The sequence below is a fragment of the Homo sapiens genome, chromosome 5, assembly GCF_000001405.40.
Source record: "Homo sapiens chromosome 5, GRCh38.p14 Primary Assembly".
Classification (NCBI taxonomy): domain Eukaryota; kingdom Metazoa; phylum Chordata; class Mammalia; order Primates; family Hominidae; genus Homo; species Homo sapiens.
The window spans coordinates 90,680,444-90,696,664 of NC_000005.10; the positions used below are offsets into that span (position 1 = coordinate 90,680,444).

General features: G+C 37.3%; 1 protein-coding gene across 16 annotated transcripts in view; it reads left to right on the top strand.

Annotated features, from left to right (window-relative positions):
- Positions 1-16,221, top strand: part of ADGRV1 (adhesion G protein-coupled receptor V1) — a 605,641-nt gene that overhangs the window by 121,647 nt on the left and 467,773 nt on the right. For 13 of the 16 annotated variants that reach the window (XM_017009963.3, XM_017009969.3, XM_017009968.3 and 10 more), the window contains 7 exons: positions 872-1,011; positions 3,143-3,752; positions 5,337-5,552; positions 9,418-9,633; positions 10,354-10,598; positions 12,162-12,343; positions 13,447-14,258. In XM_017009963.3, the coding sequence (XP_016865452.1) occupies positions 872-1,011; positions 3,143-3,752; positions 5,337-5,552; positions 9,418-9,633; positions 10,354-10,598; positions 12,162-12,343; positions 13,447-14,258 (2,421 nt within the window). Of the gene's footprint in view, positions 1-871; positions 1,012-3,142; positions 3,753-5,336; positions 5,553-9,417; positions 9,634-10,352; positions 10,599-12,161; positions 12,344-13,446; positions 14,259-16,221 lie in introns of those variants that run through there. The other 3 variants (NR_003149.2, XM_017009973.2, XM_017009972.2) reach the window with 3 other exon arrangements.

The window sequence follows — 16,221 nt, forward strand, 5'->3', positions numbered from 1 at the left end:
ATTGAAAAGAGGATGCCTTTTGAAGTAGATTTATATACAAACATGATTCAGCTTTTTACCTCAAATATTTTTTTCATATATGAAAAGCATACTTAGAATATTTGTTTCTTGAAGAAGAGCATTTTCTAATCCTCAAATCCTTCTTTTTTCACAATGTCAGATTTTATATTTTAGTGTCAGAACTCATGATTTCACTGCCTTCATTCCTAACTTCCATCAGTGCCTAATGCAACCTCTGTAGTTAATTACACTATTACTTTTAGAATTGTTCATTTTCTAGTCTGTAGACATTAATGCAACATAAAATTTGAACATACTTTTTAGGAAAAACTTAAATGCTGCTTTAGATCATGGCATCTTTTTAGCTACAGAATGGGACTATTTAAGATCAGGAGAGATAGATTTATAGTATCATCACATGATGAAAAAATAGGCCTAGGATTCATGCACGTTGGAAACCAAGAATCTGTTCCGCCAGAATGGGAAACTACTTATTATTTCATGAAGGTAAGAGTCATTTTGGCTCAAGTTCTTTTGAGGTCAGAAAGGTCGTGGGAGACCTTCCTCATATACTCTGTGTGGAAGAATGTTCTCTTTCATAGAGAAGAAAAAGAAAAACAAGTTTTCCTTATTCATCTCCAAGTGCTTATGCAGCACTTGTACATCACGTTGGTGCCAAAGTAGAGAAAGGTCATAAAAGCATGAATATGTGTGGCACCCATTTGTGTCTGCCTTTCTTTCTAAAACAAATTAGAATGTACTCAATGAATGGAAGGACTCTTTTCAAAAAGTTGTTCCTTGGCTTTTTCTTTGATTTGTAAATTACTGATCATCATTTTTTTTTTCTATTTGTTGGAACTTGTTCATGCAGCCAGTCTAGGAGTGGCTTCCCAAATTCTAGTGACAATTGCAGCCTCTGACCACGCTCATGGCGTATTTGAATTTAGCCCTGAGTCACTCTTTGTCAGTGGAACTGAACCAGAAGATGGGTATAGCACTGTTACATTAAATGTGAGTACCTTTTCTTCCTTCATTCCTAGACACTTTCTGTTGTTTTAAAAACTGTACTGTGCTATGAAAGTGTGTTTTATGCTTTCCTTTTTTTGTGTAGGCTGAGGGGAATGAGCCTATTGGCACAGGCAATACAAATTGGTGATCAAACAGTCGTTTGGCATTTATTTTTGTCTTTAGTATTGCACATGGAGTCATTGTTTAATTCTGAAGATCCTTGACCCTTTAAGGAACATAATGGAGCTGTACTACAAGTATTTATCTTACATAGATTTTTGTGTTTGTTCAGATAGGCTGTGGTAACAAACATCTCTAAAATATCAATGGCTAGTACAACAAAGAATTGCCTTCCTCCCTCCCTCCCTCCCTCACTCCGTCCCTCCCTCCCTTCCTTCTTTCCTTCCTTCCTTCCTTTCTTTCTTTCTTTTTTCGAGACGGAGTTTCGCTCTTGTTGCCCAGTGGAGTGCAATGGCGTGATCTCAGCTCACCACAACCTCCGCCTCCTGGGTTCAAGCGATTCTCCTGCTTCAGCCTTCCAAGTAGCTGGGATTACAGGCATGCACCACCACGCCCGGCTAATTTTGTATTTTTAGTAGAGACGGGGTTTCTCCATGTTGGTCAGTCTGGTCTCAAACTCCCAACCTCAGGTGATCCACCCGCCTTGGCCTCTCAAAGTGCTGGAAAAGATTTGTTTTTCATTCGTAGTATGTATATGTCCAACTTAAGTTAGCAAGGGGCTCTGATTATTAGTCACTTTAGGCACCAAGGCTATATCTCAGCAGGTGCTTTTATCTTCTTGGCGGAGGGAAATGTGGATGTGAAGAACAGCATACCAGCTCTTATAGCTTCTTTCTGGAAGTGATTTACATCATTTCTACTTAACTTCCTTGATCAAAGCAGGTCTCCTGGCTGTGCCTAATGTCAGTGGGTGAAGTGCAATCCTATCCTGTCTCTCTCCCATAAGGAAAGAAAATCTAAAACATGGGTGAACTGGCAATAACAATAACTCTATATGATGTGTGTGTTTGTGTACCTACTCTGCTTTGTTCCAGTAGAAATTAGGAAGGATTCATTGTTCAGTGACTCACAGGAGCTAGCTGCTTGCTCAGCTTCCATACGAATAATGAAGAAATATCACTCAAACATATCCTTCTGTACTATTATGGCAGATTTTCAATAAACTGTTGTGCGATAAATTCAACACCTTAGAAAGGATAACTAATGACTCAGGAAAGATAAAAAAAGCGTTAAGGGAAAGGATCAACTTTTATAAAATTACTGTCTCTAAATTTTATTTTGATGTAACCATCATATTTCAAGAATAAATAAAAATTACTCTTAGTTGGGATTTACTTGGAGAAATTTTTAAACTTTTCATTCTTAACATATTATTGACAAAAGCATATCTTCCTTCTTAAATGTATTTTCTTATACTTTGGGTCAAATATGTTTTTTGATGAGTTTGTTTACATAAAATATTGAAGATAAAAGTAAATGTGATTTGTTTTAAAATGAGTTTTACAGATCACTTTTCAGAAAAACACCATTTATACATTCCTTGCAATGAAATATATACCATTTTTGCAGTGAGTGTGAAAATTTTATGAGTGTGCCTGAATGTAATATGTTGTTAATCACATTTAATTTATTGGGCATAAAAGATACACAAAAAATAGTTATAATTTAAATAGAAGCTACGTTTTTTTCATCAATTTATAGTTTCATGCAACAATCGCCTTTGAAATTTCAATTGTGTTTTATTTATTTTTTTTAAGAGATAGAGTCTTGGTGTGTTGCCCAGGCTGGAGTGCAGTGACACCATCATAGCTGACTGCAGCCTCGAAGTCCTGGGCTCCAGGGACCCTTCTGTCTCAGTCTCCTGAATAACTGGGACTACAGGCATGTGCCACTGCACTCGGCATAGTCACTTTTTAAATATCCTCTATTTGTAAGACTCTCTGTGGGCCTTCAAAGATGGATAGTATATGACCCCTGCCTGCAGCAGTCTTGTAGTCTGGAGAAGAACTTATATAAAATAAAATTGTGCTGCTATCATTAATGTATTTATAAGCCTCTAAGTAACTGGCTTTAATCTCTCTTTTAATAGATTTTAATATTAAGTATTTTGTAGGTTATAAGACATCATGGAACTCTGTCTCCAGTGACTTTGCATTGGAACATAGACTCTGATCCTGATGGTGATCTCGCCTTCACCTCTGGCAACATCACATTTGAGATTGGGCAGACGAGCGCCAATATCACTGTGGAGATATTGCCTGACGAAGACCCAGAACTGGATAAGGCATTCTCTGTGTCAGTCCTCAGTGTTTCCAGTGGTTCTTTGGGAGCTCATATTAATGCCACGTTAACAGTTTTGGCTAGTGATGATCCATATGGGATATTCATTTTTTCTGAGAAAAACAGACCTGTTAAAGTTGAGGAAGCAACCCAGAACATCACACTATCAATAATAAGGTTGAAAGGCCTCATGGGAAAAGTCCTTGTCTCATATGCAACACTAGATGATATGGAAAAACCACCTTATTTTCCACCTAATTTAGCGAGAGCAACTCAAGGAAGAGACTATATACCAGCTTCTGGATTTGCTCTTTTTGGAGCTAATCAGAGTGAGGCAACAATAGCTATTTCAATTTTGGATGATGATGAGCCAGAAAGGTCCGAATCTGTCTTTATCGAACTACTCAACTCTACTTTAGTAGCGAAAGTACAGAGTCGTTCAAGTAAGTATCCCTTAGTGTGTTATTATTATTATTAGCTCTCAGAATCCTGAAACAATCAGTTTTAAATTTTATTTAATAGAAAATTCTATAAAAAGTAGTAAACTCTAACTTTGAAAATGTCCTCTTACAACAGTTTACCTGTAAGGTAACTGGAAGCCAGACACATTTTTTTCTTAGAAATTATGTTTTAAAAGTCAGTAGAAAGTAAGATGGGAACTTTAAAATTATCTAGCACACTCTATTATAACAAGGTTGGTGTAGTCTTGAGGCTGCCTCTGATTTCTGGATGAGTGGATTCATCCACTGGGGTTGCTGTAACAAACTGCCATAAACTGGGTGGCTTAGAAACAACAGACATTTTTCCTCATAGTTCTGGAGGCTGGGAAGTGCCACGATTAAGGTGCCAGCAGATTCAGTGCCTGGTGAGGGTCTGCTTCCTGGGCCTTGTGGAGGGTTGAGGGGTCTCTGTCTCTCTCAGGCCTCTTTTACATGGGGACTAACCCCATTTACAAGCGTCTCACCTCCTTAACCTAAGGGCTCCACCTCTTAATACTATCACCACTGGGATTAGGATTTAAATGTATGAATTTTGAGGCAGGAGAACACAAACCTTCAGACCATAGTAACACAGTAGTTCAGTGACAGTATTAATTAAGAATGGGCCGTGCAGAACAGGTTTGTCAGGGAAGAAGGCGAAGCGGTTAAAGAGGCAGTAATTTAGAGTATGATGATTTGCAGCTAGTTTTTGAGGTCAAGGAACTAAATTAGTTTCCTACTCAATCTTGTAACTGAAATGCAGTTTTGTTTTAATGGCACAGTGAACTAATTAGAAGAGCATCATTCTGTTGTAATATTATGTAAAGTGATGATTAATTATACTCTAATGATTTTTTCCTTTTTGATAACTTTTCAACACATATTAAAATATTTCTGTAGGTAACTGTTCTTTTGTTATAAATTCTATAATAAAAATTTCTCTAGAATGTAAGCTACACTAGAGCAGGGACATTCTGTTTAGTTTATTTTTGAATCCCGAATGTCTAGATTAATGCTGGTGCATATTAAACAATACATATTCTTAAATATTCTTAAATATAAATAGTAGGGCTGGGCGCGGTGGCTTATGCCTGTAATCCTAGCACTTTGGGAGGCCGAGGCAGGCAGATTGCCTGAGCTCAGGAGTTCAAGACCAGCCTGGGCAACATGGTGAAACCCCATCTCTACTAAAATATAAAAGAAATTAGCCGGGCATGGCAGCACGTGCCTGTAGTCCCAGCTACTCTGGAGGCTGAGGCAGGAGAATTGCTTGAACTCAGGAAGCGGAGGTTGTGGTGAGCCAAGATGGCGCCACTACACTCCAACACTCCAGCACTCCAGCCTGCGTGGTAGAGAGTCCATCTCTATAAATAAATAAATAAATAAATAAATAAATAAATAAATAAATAAAATAAATAGTAGAGGGAAAACCCCAAATGAGAATCCTATTTGGCTGATGGAATCTTGCTGAGGTTTCTTGATGACTTTTGGCCAGTTCTTAGAATTTTGATAGCTTTCTGTGTTCTGTGTGGATCTTCTGTCTTTCAGTTCCAAATTCTCCACGTCTTGGGCCTAAGGTAGAAACTATTGCGCAACTAATTATCATTGCCAATGATGATGCATTTGGAACTCTTCAGCTCTCAGCACCAATTGTCCGAGTGGCAGAAAATCATGTTGGACCCATTATCAATGTGACTAGAACAGGAGGAGCATTTGCAGATGTCTCTGTGAAGTTTAAAGCTGTGCCAATAACTGCAATAGCTGGTAAGAAAAGACATCTAAAAAGCAGTACATACAGAGGGATGTAAGCACAGAGGGACATGTATCCTTGATTAACACAGCCTCTCAAAGTTGCAATTAGGATAATCAACTAGAAAACTAGAAATACTCTTGTATCTTTTTCAAGGGACAAATCTAGAGTCTTTTTTTTTGGGGGGGGGGATGGAGTCTCGCTTGATTTTACAATTTTTTTATTTTTATTTTTATTTTATTATTATTATACTTTAAGTTTTAGGGTACATGTGCACAACGTGCAGGTTAGTTACATATGTATACATGTGCCATGCTGGTGTGCTGCACCCATTAACTCATCATTTGGCATTAGGTATATCTCCTAAAGCTATCCCTCCCCGCTCCCCACACCCCACAACAGTCCCCAGAGTGTGATGTTCCCCTTTCTGTGTCCATGTGTTCTCATTGTTCACTTCCCACCTATGAGTGAGAATATGCAGTGTTTGGTTTTTTGTTCTTGTGATAGTTTACTGAGAATGATGATTTCCAATTTCATCCATGTCCCTACAAAGGACATGAACTCATCATTTTTTATGGCTGCATAGTATTCCATGGTGTATATGTGCCACATTTTCTTAATCCAGTCTATCATTGTTGGACATTTGGGTTGGTTCCAAGCCTTTGCTATTGTGAATAGTGCCGCAATAAACATACGTGTGCATGTGTCTTTATAGCTGCATGATTTATAGTCCTTTGGGTATATACTCAGTAATGGGATGGCTGGGTCAGATGGTATTTCTAGTTCTAGATCCCTGAGGAATCGCCACGCTGACTTCCACAATGGTTGAACTAGTTTACAGTCCCACCAACAGTGTAAAAGTGTTCCTATTTCTCCACATCCTCTCCAGCACCTGTTGTTTCCTGACTTTTTAATGGCTGCCATTCTAACTGGTGTGAGATGGTATCTCATTGTGGTTTTGATTTGCATTTCTCTGACGGCCAGTGATGATGAGCATTTCTTCATGTGTTTTTTGGCTGCATAAATGTCTTCTTTTGAGAAGTGTCTGTTCATGTCCTTTGCCCACTTTTTGATGGGGTTGTTTTTTTCTTGTAAATTTGTTTGAGTTCATTGTAGATTCTGGATATTAGCCCTTTGTCAGATGAGTAGGTTGCGAAAATTTTCTCACATTTTGTAAGTTGCCTGTTCACTGTGATGGTACTTACTTTTGCTGTGCAGAAGCTCTTTAGTTTAATTAGATCCCATTTGTCAATTTTGGCTTTTGTTGCCATTGCTTTTGGTGTTTTAGACATGAAGTCCTTGCCCATGCCTATGTCCTGAATGGTAATGCCTAGGCTTTCTTCTAGGGTTTTTATGGTTTTAGGTCTAACGTTTAAGTCTTTAATCCATCTTGAATTAATTGTTGTATAAGGTGTAAGGAAGGGATCCAGTTTCAGCTTTCTACATATGGCTAGTCAGTTTTTCTGAATGGGCAAAAACTGGAAGCATTCCCTTTGAAAACTGGCACAAGACAGGGATGCCCTCTCTCACCACTCGTATTCAACATAGTGTTGGAAGTTCTGGCCAGGGCAATTAGGCAGGAGAATGACATAAAGGGTATTCAGTTAGGAAAAGAGGAAGTCAAATTGTCCCTGTTTGCAGATGACATGATTGTATATCTAGAAAATCCCATTGTCTCAGCGCAAAATCTCCTTAAGCTGATAAGCAACTTCAGCAAAGTCTCAGGATACAAAATCAATGTACAGAAGTCACAAGCACTCTTATACACCAATAACAGACAAACAGAGAGCCAAATCATGAGTGAACTCCCATTCACAATTGCTTCAAAGAGAATAAAATACCTAGGAATCCAACTTACAAGGGACGTGAAGGACCTCTTCAAGGAGAACTACAAACCACTGCTCAACGAAATAAAAGAGGATACAAACAAGTGGAAGAACATTCCATGCTCATGGGTAGGAAGAATCAATATCGTGAAAATGGCCATACTGCTCAAGGTAATTTATAGATTCAATGCCATCCCCATCAAGCTACCAATGACTTCACAGAATTGGAAAAAACTACTTTAAAGTTCATATGGAACCAAAAAAGAGCCCGCATCGCCGAGTCAATCCTAAGCCAAAAGAACAAAGCTGGAGGCATCACGCTACCTGACCTCAAACTATACTACAAGGCTACAGTAACCAAAACAGCATGGTACTGGTACCAAAACAGAGATATAGATCAATGGAACAGAACAGAGCCCTCAGAAATAACGCCGCATATCTACAACTATCTGATCTTTGACAAACCTGAGAAAAACAGCAATGGGGAAAGGATTCCCTATTTAATAAATGGTGCTGGGAAAACTGGCTAGCCATATGTTGATTTTACAATTTTGTTTTGTTTTGTTTTGAGATGGAGTCTTGCTCTGTCACCCAGGGTGGAGTGCAGTGGTGTGATCTTGGCTCACTGCAATGTCCGCCTCCCGGGTTCAAGATTCTCCTGCCTCAGCCTTCCGGGTAGCTGGGACTACAAGCGTGTGCCACCATGCCCAGCTAATTTTTGTATTTTTTAGTAGAGATGGGATTTTACCATGTTGGCCAGGATGGTCTCGATCTCTTGACCTCATGATCCGCCCACCTTGGCCTCCCAAAGTGCTGGTAGAGTTTTTATATATTTATGGCACTGAGCTTGTAGACTTTGCAAAAAGTTTTGGCCAAATTATCTATGAATTTGAAAGCTATGATGACCAAAATATGCACAAATCAATGAAAAGTAAACTGAGGAAAACACTGGTTTTCTCTGAGTGTACTCCTCATTTTTGAAAGGGATTCACTTGTAAATGACTACTGAGGAATGCAGGGAAAATGGGCAGCTACATGCTTTCAGTGCTTGGCAACAGTCTTGTCTCTGGATCCCTTTATCTTCTTGCTTATTTATTTGTGAAGAGCAAGGAAGAGGCAACAGTTAGTATTAACTATTTTATATATAAGAAAATGACTTCATTGCCAGATGTATATATAAGAAGACTGCCTACTTTGATAGTGCCGTCCCAGCATCCAGAGGGAGATTTGCCTGAGAACTATTCAATTCGAATCTTTCTAGTGTGCTTTCAGAGGAACAGGAATGTGAATGGATGGGATACTGTGCTTGATTTAAAAAAATAAATCATCTGGCCATAATACTTGCTTGAAAAGACAATAAACCAGGCCCATCTAATACCTAACTGGTGTAGGCTGGGGTAGCTCCTAGGAATACCTGGCTGCCTGTAGAGGGCCTCACACACTGACAGATGGTGGGGATTGGTTAGTGTACTAAGACATTAGTCCTCAGTCTTCACATGAAGCACCCCTCCTTTCCCCACCCACCTTTTTTTTTTTTTTTTTTTTTTTCTCTCCTGCCATCCTGAGCAGTACTCAGTAGCGGCTTTCAATCTATGCAAGAAAGTCTTTTCATGTCCAGCTGTATCATTGATGATGCTAGCGTTCCCATATCTGTGCAGTGGTATAATTTATCTTTCCAGTGGCATTACAATTCTATTTCTGTTCTTTTTTCTAAAAGTACACATTTTTTTCTTGTAGTTAAGGGGGCCTATCTTGTAATGAATGATTCTCTATTTATATAAATAGACCAAATAGATATACATCTTTCTGAAAGTGAAGGAATGAACTTGAGCACCCCTAGGAAGTCTTTTTCGTTATTTTGTGACATTATCAAACCCATTTTTCTACTGAGAGGCATAAAAGTCTTCTTGCTTAGAATAAATGTAGTCAATATCCTCAAAAAAGTATTTCCAAGTAGATCCATAAAGTTTGTTACCTGATAGTTTTTCCCTAGTATATGGAATGTTTTGATCATATTTTAGAAGTCTTAACATTTTACTTTTGGTCTTTTCAGGTGAAGATTATAGTATAGCTTCATCAGATGTGGTCTTGCTAGAAGGGGAAACCAGTAAAGCCGTGCCAATATATGTCATTAATGATATCTATCCTGAACTGGAAGAATCTTTTCTTGTGCAACTGATGAATGAAACAACAGGAGGAGCCAGACTAGGGGCTTTAACAGAGGCAGTCATTATTATTGAGGCCTCTGATGACCCCTATGGATTATTTGGTATGAAGACTAATTTATGTCTCTCTTTGACTTGTCTGCATGTATAGATCATAGATAATGATCTTTACTTTTGGAGACTCAGAATTGATCTGATCATGCTTTCTTTCTTAACCTGCTGTTACTGACATATAGGACATCTGTACACAGTTATTGGCAGTTGTTAGTGATTGTTTAAAAAAGAAATTAAATCAATCTCTTAGCATATGTGGAGAAGTCACGAACTATTGGCTTTAGGGTGTGACCTGGCTCCTATATGTGTTTTGTGAGTCTTAGGCAATTCTTTAGAAAAATAATTTAATTTATAGAAATTTACACAAAAATTTGGATTTCTGGGCTTTCTTGATAAATAGGAAATGTGGCAATATCAAGTTCCCTTTCCTGCATAACATCAGTCATGGGAACCAAATAGCAACTGCCCCTCTGGAGCAGGCTTGCACTGTGCAATCAGCTTCTGTGCTCACTGGACCTGTCACTCATGTCTGGTATAGACTTGAGCCCTATGGGCTTTGTGGTTTCTACTTCTATCACAGTGAAAAATAATTTGGAAATTTTGGCAGAGCAGACCAATTTGTATCACAGCATGTTACTCTGGTTTTTGTGGGTTATAGCTACTTAGATTGCTTAGGGGGGAAGAGAATCCACTATAGGATGGTGCTTGGTTAACTGTTATCTCTGTTTCACTTTGTATTTGAAATGAACTCTGCTCTGTCTACCCTTCAGGTTTTCAGATTACTAAACTTATTGTAGAGGAACCTGAGTTTAACTCAGTGAAGGTAAACCTGCCAATAATTCGAAATTCTGGGACACTCGGCAATGTTACTGTTCAGTGGGTTGCCACCATTAATGGACAGCTTGCTACTGGCGACCTGCGAGTTGTCTCAGGTAATGTGACCTTTGCCCCTGGGGAAACCATTCAAACCTTGTTGTTAGAGGTCCTGGCTGACGACGTTCCGGAGATTGAAGAGGTGAGAGGACTGGCTAGTATAGAATGACACTGTAAATCATACCGTATCTATAGTGACTAGAACAGATGGCCATTGTAACATTTTGGAGAGGATGTCAAATAAATTATTCCTGCAAGAATGTTCAAACTATGCTAGTGTGAAAGTGATCCTTACAGTTGACAAAAGCAGGAATATTCTAGAAATAGATTGTATACATATGCCAGTTTACTACTATAAGACTTTTTTGTACAATTAACTTGCATTGTTCAACATTTTGGTTAAAAGGTTAAATACATATATATATATGTATATACACATATATAGTCTTAATTTATAATACATTTGCTCTGTATAAACTTTTTTCTTTTTTTTTTTTTTTTTGAGATGGAGTTTTACGCTTGTCGCCCAGGCTGGAGGGCAGTGGCATGATCTTGGCTCACTGCAACCTATGCTTCCTGGGTTTAAGGGATTCTCCTGCCTCAGCCTTCCGAGTAGCTGGGATTACAGGCACATGCCACCATGCCTGGCTAATTTTTGTATTTTTAATAGAAACGGAGTTTCACAGTGTTGGCTAGGCTGGTCTCGAACTCCTGACCTCAGGTGATCCACCTGCCTCAGCCTCCCAAAGTGCTGGGATTACAAGCATGAGCCAACGTGCCCAGCCTGTTCTGTATAAACTCTTAACTTATATTTATACTCCCTTTTGGCTTGGGTGTGAGCCAGTCAATCTTAAGTATTATTGTGGTTTTTCATTCATTCATTCATTCATTCACTTATTCTTCAACCATTGTTGAGAACTTACTATATGAAAAATAGCATGCGAGATGCATCTTCTTGATATTTCCTTTTCCTGATGAAGCAGCAAGGTAGCAAATATAAGTACAGTATCAGTGGAAAAGTTAATCACTAACATACATTGGCTGAAGATAATTTTATTGTATGAAATTCAAGTATTAACATTTAGATCTCATAAAATTACTTTTGATAGCATTTATTCTTTAATAGTATAAAATTTTATACAAGTTCATAAAATTTATTTTGAATGCTAATTGTGCCATTTTTCACTTCTAAAATATTAGATATTCATTAGCACATAAAAAACATTTCTGTTTTTTTCTCTCTAAATTTAGGTGGCATTACAGTATGTTTTTGTTTTAAATTTTGTCAAATAATTTTATTTAAGATAATGTGGGAAATAAAGCATAGTATATTAACGCTCCATTAAAATGTATATTTCAGATTTTTTTTAAAAAAGTTATAGGACGTAAAAGTACTATTATTGAAATGGTAAACATAAACAGGGATATTAAAATTGAGTCACATGATTATATAACAATATTAAGGAGTTTAAACAGCCTGTATGTCTTATATATAACTAGGTTCTGTTATTAAATGTTGATGATGGGTTATTCTGTTACATGCTGGGTTTGTAAGTGTAATTGGGGAGTTCTTTTAGTCCATTTATATTTCATTCCATTTTGTTCTTGTACTTGTATGTATATGTTTGATTTTTTTCCCTTGAATCATTTTTATTCTAATTTCAGAACTGTGATGCTGTTAAGGAAGTTTTCACTGTATTTTTAGGTTATCCAAGTGCAACTAACTGATGCCTCTGGTGGAGGTACTATTGGGTTAGATCGAATTGCAAATATTATTATTCCTGCCAATGATGATCCTTATGGTACAGTAGCCTTTGCTCAGATGGTTTATCGTGTTCAAGAGCCTCTGGAAAGAAGTTCCTGTGCTAATATAACTGTCAGGCGAAGGTATATGAGATAGCTACTTGCCTCTGTGGGAGTGATGAGAATTGTGGGGTGGTGGGGAAGGATCCCTTGCACAGTTAAATCATTTAGGTTTTGTGGTTTTTTCTATGCCATAAATTATTTTATAGGTTATTTTAATGTGTTAACTGAATTATGCTTATTAGTATAAAGGGCCTTTCATTTATCATACCTATTGTTAGTGAAATGGGTAATAAATTTTACATCACTGAGCTCTCTAACCCCAGAAATGCATTGCTCTAATCTGTAATTTGTTACAATTAGTACTTAAATATAACTGGCTTTTAAATTAAAGAGCATTTGTATGATGTATGAAGGAGCTGATTTCCAGGTCTGTTTTTTTTTTCTTTTTTTGTGAGGCAGCATTGGGCTCACTGAGCTCCTTCAGAAATAGAAAACAGGATCTTGGGAACTTGTGACAAGTCCCTGGTATCCACAGGGAATTGATTGCAGGTCCTTGGATATAACAAAATCCTTGGATGCTCCCCTTTAATATAAAGTGGTGTAAAATATAATATTTGCATATAACCTATGCACAGTCATCCATATACTTTAAATCATCTCTAGATTACTTATAATACCTAATACAATGTAAATGCTATATAAATAGTTGCTATACTGGACTGGTTTTTAAAGTTTGTATTTTTTAAATTTTTTTTTTTCTGAATATTTTTGATCTGCGGTCTTGAATCCACAGATGTAGAACCTGTGGATAGGGAGGGCTGACTGTTACTACATTTCCTCAAAATGTAGTCATGTTTGTTATCATTGTTACTTTGTTTCAGTTAAGTAAAGCAATAAAAATTAACTTTGTAATTTTGTTTTGAAACCCTGAATTTGCATACCTTGGAAAATATTTTCATAGCTTGGTTAAAAATAAGTGTTGTTTGATTGAAAATTAGCAAGGTTTCCTCACAGGAGAAAACAAAATGTTGGGAGACAAGTGTAATTAAGAAACAGGATTGTGTTTGTACTATGACTTTAAACATTTTTTTAAAAAACTAAAGACCACAGTCAGCATTCCTCTTCTCTATTTGTAATTACTTTGAGTGCTTAACCTGTCTTTTAATTGTCACTCCACATTTTAGCGGAGGGCACTTTGGTCGGCTGTTGTTGTTCTACAGTACTTCCGACATTGATGTAGTGGCTCTGGCAATGGAGGAAGGTCAAGATTTACTGTCCTACTATGAATCTCCAATTCAAGGGGTGCCTGACCCACTTTGGAGAACTTGGATGAATGTCTCTGCCGTGGGGGAGCCCCTGTATACCTGTGCCACTTTGTGCCTTAAGGAACAAGCTTGCTCAGCGTTTTCATTTTTCAGTGCTTCTGAGGGTCCCCAGTGTTTCTGGATGACATCATGGATCAGCCCAGCTGTCAACAATTCAGACTTCTGGACCTACAGGAAAAACATGACCAGGGTAGCATCTCTTTTTAGTGGTCAGGCTGTGGCTGGGAGTGACTATGAGCCTGTGACAAGGCAATGGGCCATAATGCAGGAAGGTGATGAATTCGCAAATCTCACAGTGTCTATTCTTCCTGATGATTTCCCAGAGATGGATGAGAGTTTTCTAATTTCTCTCCTTGAAGTTCACCTCATGAACATTTCAGCCAGTTTGAAAAATCAGCCAACCATAGGACAGCCAAATATTTCTACAGTTGTCATAGCACTAAATGGTGATGCCTTTGGAGTGTTTGTGATCTACAATATTAGTCCCAATACTTCCGAAGATGGCTTATTTGTTGAAGTTCAGGAGCAGCCCCAAACCTTGGTGGAGCTGATGATACACAGGACAGGGGGCAGCTTAGGTCAAGTGGCAGTCGAATGGCGTGTTGTTGGTGGAACAGCTACTGAAGGTTTAGATTTTATAGGTGCTGGAGAGATTCTGACCTTTGCTGAAGGTGAGCAATGGTTCTAAATGAATTTCCGTTGCCCCAGTAAAGTCATCATAGTCCATTTTTATGATAAAATTTATAAGAATTCTTACTGTGTACATTCTTGTTAATATACAGAAATGTAGTTTGGCTTTAGAAAAAAATAGAAGTTAATTGGCTTGTTAATGGTTGACATGACATACATAGACTGACATGACTGTACATATATATCTTTTTAGTTTAAAAAATAGATTTTCCGGGAATATGTGAATTTTATCCCTTTATGTTTGATAGTAGTGTCTTTGACAAAGCACAGAGGAAACTATAAGGCAAGTTCTAATTTTGTAAGGGAAATTTTAATAATGACCCATGTACTTACAACCATACATGTTGGTAAGAAGCAGTGGTAGCTAGGAAAATGAGTATTAATTGATAAACATTTTCATATGCACTAGACAAATCAGGAAATATCATCAGAGAAAATTATTTGTAAGTAAAAGTAGCATAAACTTTGGTGACTGCATTTATATTACATTAATCCTAATGATAAATTTATAATACTGTTCCTACACTTGAGATCACTATTGTAAAATTTCATAAACAATATACTGATATTTTACATGATCAGCTAATTAGAATTAGGATCAGATTGAGTGGTTCTTTTTCAGGACTGGTTGACTCGTGTGCTATTTAAAATTGGGAAAGTTAGTATGTTTAAAATAGTTTTCTCTGGGTGTGGGACAGGTATCTTTATTGAGATTATTGATTACATCCTCATTTGGGCAGTTATATATTCCACAAAATTTTAAAAAACATAGTGCTTTTCTGGTTGAAAAAGTAATGTATACTCTAAAAACCTCAAAATATACAACAAAATGCAGGAAAGAAACTTTGTTCCTAATTCTATATTTTAGAACAATCCATTGTATTTGTTGTTTAACTTTTTAAGGCATATACTTTTTTTTGGAAACTAATTAGAGGTCATGGTACATATGTAATACGCTTTTTGAAACACATAATAATCATTATGTTTTAGAGTAAATTTTAAAAATTGTATAAAATATTTTTATTATGGTTATTTTCTAGTCAGTGATTTGAGGATTTAGTGGGATATGATATGCTTGACGGAAGATGGGAACAGGTTAGTAATTGGTAACTTTTCTATTTCAAAAGGAATAATGAAAATGTGACGAGGAGGGAGTGGAAATGAAAATATAAAGTTGGATTTTTCCAGTGGTTATGTTAACTACAAAGAAAGTTATATATAAAGAAATAGCATTATATAAATTACCATTACCATGAATTATAACCTTAGCATCACACAAAATGGACTCTATTGCTAACTTAGATTCTTAGATAATGCAGACTCTCTTAAAGCAATCTTGACACTGCTGTATTGATGAAAATGCAGCAGGGTCACAAAAGAGAGAACATGCATTTAATCTCCTTTCTCCTTTTCCCTGCCTTTTCTTTTCCCACTCCTTCATTGTCTCTCCAGAAAGTGGGGAGAAAATAAATAGGGGACACCTTAGGCTGAATGGCAGAAAGTATTGGATTTAGGGACATTCTGTGGTGCCCTATCTACTAGATCAAATTGCAAAGTAGATTGCTTGGACTTTTGTTGCTGTCACTTGTCCCTTTGAGTTCCTCTTTTGTTTTCTTCCTTCATTGCACTACTTCCTGGAGACTGGTACTTGATGCTGTCATCTCATCGAGTTACTCAAAGATGCATCTCATTTAGGCTGGTTCTTTTGCTCAGAATTTGACATCCCTTTTTAGTTCCTCATTTTGACCACGATTCCCTAAGTGTTCCTGGTTTTTCAGGAAGGTATTGTGTTGATATCTGATTAAAATTATCACAGTAATGCCAGAATGAGAATGAGACTCCACTTTCCTAAAGGGAGTTGTTTCTAAACAGGATATCTTTGGAGCTCTTTTCCTAGCTAGGTCACTGTTCTTGGCTAACAACCAGGAAGTAAAGCCATGATTC